The 4,753-nt window shown below is 42.5% G+C and overlaps 1 protein-coding gene across 1 annotated transcript; it reads right to left on the minus strand.

The window, feature by feature from the left end:
• Positions 1-2,459: 2,459 nt before the first annotated feature.
• On the minus strand, positions 2,460-3,257 carry PPP1R2C (PPP1R2 family member C). The gene has a single exon (NM_025210.2). It carries the CDS (start codon positions 3,171-3,173, stop codon positions 2,565-2,567), a length of 609 nt encoding a protein of 202 aa, NP_079486.1. The 5' UTR covers positions 3,174-3,257; the 3' UTR covers positions 2,460-2,564.
• Between the last annotated feature and the right edge of the window lie 1,496 nt (positions 3,258-4,753).

A 4,753-nucleotide genomic window follows, 5' to 3' on the forward strand; every position in this document is an offset into this window, starting at 1 on the left:
AGGTCTTATCCTCGATATCAACTCCAAGTGAAGGCCTTTCAAGACCTTAGGTGATGTCCCTCGAGGACCTCTGTAAAGCACTCTTGCACAGTATAGAAATGACCTGGTGACATGGCTGAGCTCTCCCATCCATAAACTGGTATCTCCTTGAAGGCAGGCACAGAGCCTTGGCACCTAGTGTATAAATAAATAATTTAATAAATTATAACATGATGTTATGTGAGATCTGGCAAAAATAAACCATTATGTCTGTTCTTCCTAAAGCAAAGGATTGTGTGCTTTCTTAGAGCCTGAGCTACCATGATAAAAACTCGCTCACAAATAGCATGAGAAAATGACAACATGCCATTAGTAACCCAGAAGAAGCTGTATGTGTTTTTGTATTTTTTTCATCTGGGCTTTAGAAACCACAAAAGCAACTGTTTTGCCTCCACAAAGAACATATTTTTAACAGCACACTTTCCCAAAAGGATACTCCTCCCTCTGTTGCATTTTGATCTATCCTGATTTAATTTAAAGTTTGAAGATGGCGTCTGACCTTATCTATCAGTGGCTGAGCCGTTGTCTCATGGAAATGCAGTTTGAAACTCATTAATAGGGTAGCCTGTATATTATAACTTAGAAGCTCTGGGTTATCACTGATGCTTGCAATTGCTATGGAAACCGGGTTCATATGCACCTTTCAAAGAGTCTGCTTTAAAACAGGAAAAAAAGATGAAGAAAAAGAAGGCTTTGTGAAAGAATAAGATATTTTGTACCCAGCATGGATAAGCAGGTTCAGTGATGCAAAAATGCTCTGCCTACACAATGATAAAAACAATTTTTTACCTTTTTCAGGAGCTAATAATGTATAACCTTGTCTTAGAGAACTGTGTTTATACTGGTAGAGAAGAATCCTCAAGGCAGCTTTCCCCAGTGCCCACACATAGACACACAAACACAGACACACACCCACAATTTTCAGTTTTCCCCAGACTTTTTGCAATCTGCATTCTTAATTCCTCCAAAGGCCTCTGCACATGCAGCTTTGGCTGCTAAAGCCCACCCAGTGTGGACTGGCTGAGAGCTCAGTCTCTTCTGCTTCCCCTTAAATGTGTATTGAATGTTGCATCTGTCTCTTATGGGCTGAATTTTTCAATTATAAAATGATAGTGCTAATTGGATCAAGTTTCTTATTAAAAATTCTTGGATGTATTCCTCCCCAAATTTGGGTTTTGGAGGCTTCATCCCTCATCTCCTTGCCCACATTTCTCCCTAATAACCTAAGTGTGGTATTGTGTTAGGTAAACAATAGTGTATCATCTTGTGGAAAATGATTCTTTAGACACACCTCCCTCCCTCATGTAGAACCATGTGTTACTCCCTCCAATGTTTTCATCTGCTTATCTCCCCACTTGTGAGTCATCTATTATTTTTCCTTATCACTTCTGCAACCCCATTCCTCCCCTAACTGTAGCCAAATGTGAGCTGGGTTTCCTTCTCTTCTGAGCAAGAACAGGTCACGAGGGCTGAGCTTTCTGTCTTCACCTTCAGACAGAAGGAACTTGAAAGAAAGAAGAACGCATCTGCAGGCAGCTGTTCACTCCGCAGGCATCTGGAAACCACTTCTTTGCATTCAAATAGTTATGTAACCCCACATGTTGGAAGGCTGAAGAGACCATCATACTCAAAATGGAAATGACACTGTTGCAACACATAGAATATCTGAGAGAAGAAAGGGTTTCTAATGTCTTGACTATCTATGATATTCCATAAAGTTAAGGGATTGATGTGCATGGGCTGGGAGGACTGAGGAACAAAGGACAGAGGTTGAGGTAGGTACAAAAAGGGTCTACTAACTACTTTAGAATTTGAAAAAACTATTGATACCAAATCTGCCCACCCTCTGTACAAAAAACAAAACAGCCATTGGTGCAATTTTAACCTGATAATGCATGAAAAATGGCTATTTTTGACGAGAAAAAGTTCAGTCATTTCCTTGTAAACCAAAGAAAATTAAGAGAAACTGTCAAGTTACTACAAGAAAATTCAACAAGAACTCTTATAATATATTCCCTCTCAATTAAACAGCAAATCACCCTAATGTGTTTTTCAGCCTGAATATTTATCAGCCTAGATAATCTACTTTAACAATTATGTTTTGCATTTTTAACAAAACCTTTTCTGCAAAAGTTAGTATAACTAGAAGTGAATATAAATTAGTTACCTTTCAAGTCTTTAACATATTAAAAAGCTATAGAATATATACATTAACCCATGGTTTTATAAAAGGAATATGGCTTTATAAAATTAAAAGCAATATCAGGATCTGTATTTGTGTTAAATAATTACAATAACATCAAGCAGACATTTCCCACTTAATCTATGACTCTCTAAGATTACCATTTAATTCTGCATTACAATTTAACTAAGTAATTTAGTACTCGACGCATGCGCTACAGAAAACAAGAAGCAGTGTATTACAGTAACAAGGTTTGTATTTCACAAACAATTGCAAGGGTGAAGCAGATATCTTCTAAGCGTCACATATTCACAAACAATTGCAAGGGTGAAGCAGGCATCTTCTAAGGGTCGCATGACTGGGTTTGCAGTCCACCGGTCAGAGGAGCTTCCTCTGATTCTTCCGCAGCAGTCTTCTCTTCGTTCGTGCCTTGTGGCGTTTCTTCGTTTTCATTATCTTCACTTTGTAGCTCTTTCCACATTAATTGTCTAGCTAATTTGATGTTCAATTCTTCGTTGTAGTGAAGCCTTCTTCTCATTTCGAACTGCCGCTTTTTCTCCTGTTTGTGGAGGAGGATTTTTCTCATGTAGGCCTCACTGCTCTCTTGCTCGTCCACCTCACAGCTGTGGTCGGAAGCATCGGTGGCTTCCTTTCCTTCGACACCACGCACTGAATCTTCTCCTTCGACATCGCGCACTGAATCTTCCCCATTATCTTGCACACTCATGTAGGAAGTGCCGGGCTCATTTGCCTTCATTAAATCGTAATCTCTGTACGTTGCGCGGTGTGCCGCAAGGATGCTTGATTCGTCCCACTTTTGGGATTTCTTTCTCTTCACATCTTGAATAGTCCCTCCAGACTGCTGACCGGAAGTCGCCACCGAGGAACCCGACGAGCTTTTGTTTTTCAGGATCCCCTTGATGGGCCGGTGCGAGGAGGTGGAGGCTGACATTTTGCGGAGAGAAGGGCTGCGAGAGAGTTGGGCCGCTGAGTAGCCGTCCACCGCCCTCCAGTCTGAAACTGCAGGGCGGTCTGTGTGGGCAACAGGTCCCAACGCCCTAGTTAAAGCACCAGGGCCCTGGTGTCACAAAGGGCGCTGCGTATGACGTCACTATGGTCGCCGCCTCCGCCACCGCTGCCGTAGTTGCTACGGTTACCGCTATGGTTACCGCTACCGTTGCAGTCACCGTTGCCGCTACCGCTGACGTCACCGCTACCGTTACAGCTACCGTTGCTTTTGCCGTTGCCGCTGGCTGTACCGCTGACGTTACCGCCTCGTGGCCCATGCTAACGTCATTTTTTTTCTCTTTTAACGGAAAATAAGGTAGGAAATACCCTTTGGTTGTACATGGAAAGGGGAAGCATTGTTTTAGAAACTTCTATACACCCTGTCTGCCCACAGGAAAGCTATGTAAAATATTTCTCATTGTGGGTCACTGTCAAAACTTTGAAAGCCACGACTTTGGTTGGAAAGATGAGAGGCCTCAGCTAGAAGGTGATGACCTTCTGCTCCTCCCTCCTGTGCCCATCCACACTCTCCCTCCACCACGCATACCTTGGTCCTCCTCTCTTCTCCCTGTCTTGGTGAATGACCCCAACATAGAGCTAATTATATCAGCTGGGAATCTGCGTGTCCTCCTCAGTCCCTTCATGTTGCCCATTCTCCAATCCAGCCCTCGGATGTGACCTAAATATTTCAAGAGGCTTATTTGATCTCTTCTGCCACCACCGTGTTTCAAATCACCATTTTCTCTTATGGCAACTTCACTCACAGTCATTGAACTGGGCCCCCAGTATCTCCTCCTCCTGCTGTCCAATCTCTTATCCACGGTCAAAACACCCATCAGATCTTCTTCATCTCTCTTTCAAACCCTTCAACGGCTGCCCACTGTTCTTGACATAAAGACCCAAATTCAGAAGAGGCTGAAAACAGCTGTTATGATATGCTCAGTTTACTCACGTGTCTATCTGCAGCCTTCTCCCCTTAAATTCTTCCCACTCTACCTCCAGCTTTCTATTCTGATCTTCCCATTGTGGGAGCATTCATGAACCTTCCTGTCCAAGAGGTTTTTTTTTTTTTTTTTTTTTTTTTTCCAGGTTCTTCATGCAGCCTGGAGCACCCTTTCAGATTTCAGTTCAATCATCATTGACTTTCAGAGGCCATTTCCTGACCCCCAACAGCAAATAGACCTCGCTTTGCTTTCATGGTGTCTCTTATTCTCTGTGACAGCATTTTGAGTCATTTGTAATTTCTTATCTGTGTACACTAGATGACAAACATCAAAACATAAAAGGAAGTGACAAAGATTCTCTCCTTTGACCAAACTTTAATCAGGCTCCTCTAAGCCCTCTGCTCGACTAGGCCTAAACTTGGGCTTGTAGAATCCAGTTTGAGCAAGAATCCTACTAAGTTAATTTAGTGAAAATTCCCCACCACTGATAACTGACTTCCCTGAGTAGCTGATCAAATTCCTCATGCCCCACACTAGATATCTTGTCACCCTGTTGGGTCAGTCTAGCAAGAATTCCCCT

The sequence above is a fragment of the Homo sapiens genome, chromosome X, assembly GCF_000001405.40.
Source record: "Homo sapiens chromosome X, GRCh38.p14 Primary Assembly".
NCBI classification, from domain to species: Eukaryota; Metazoa; Chordata; class Mammalia; order Primates; family Hominidae; genus Homo; species Homo sapiens.

Excerpts from the sequence above, each read along its gene's own strand:
- PPP1R2C (NM_025210.2), bottom strand. The coding sequence starts at position 3,173 with ATGTCAGCCTCCACCTCCTCGCACCGGCCCATCAAGGGGATCCTGAAA.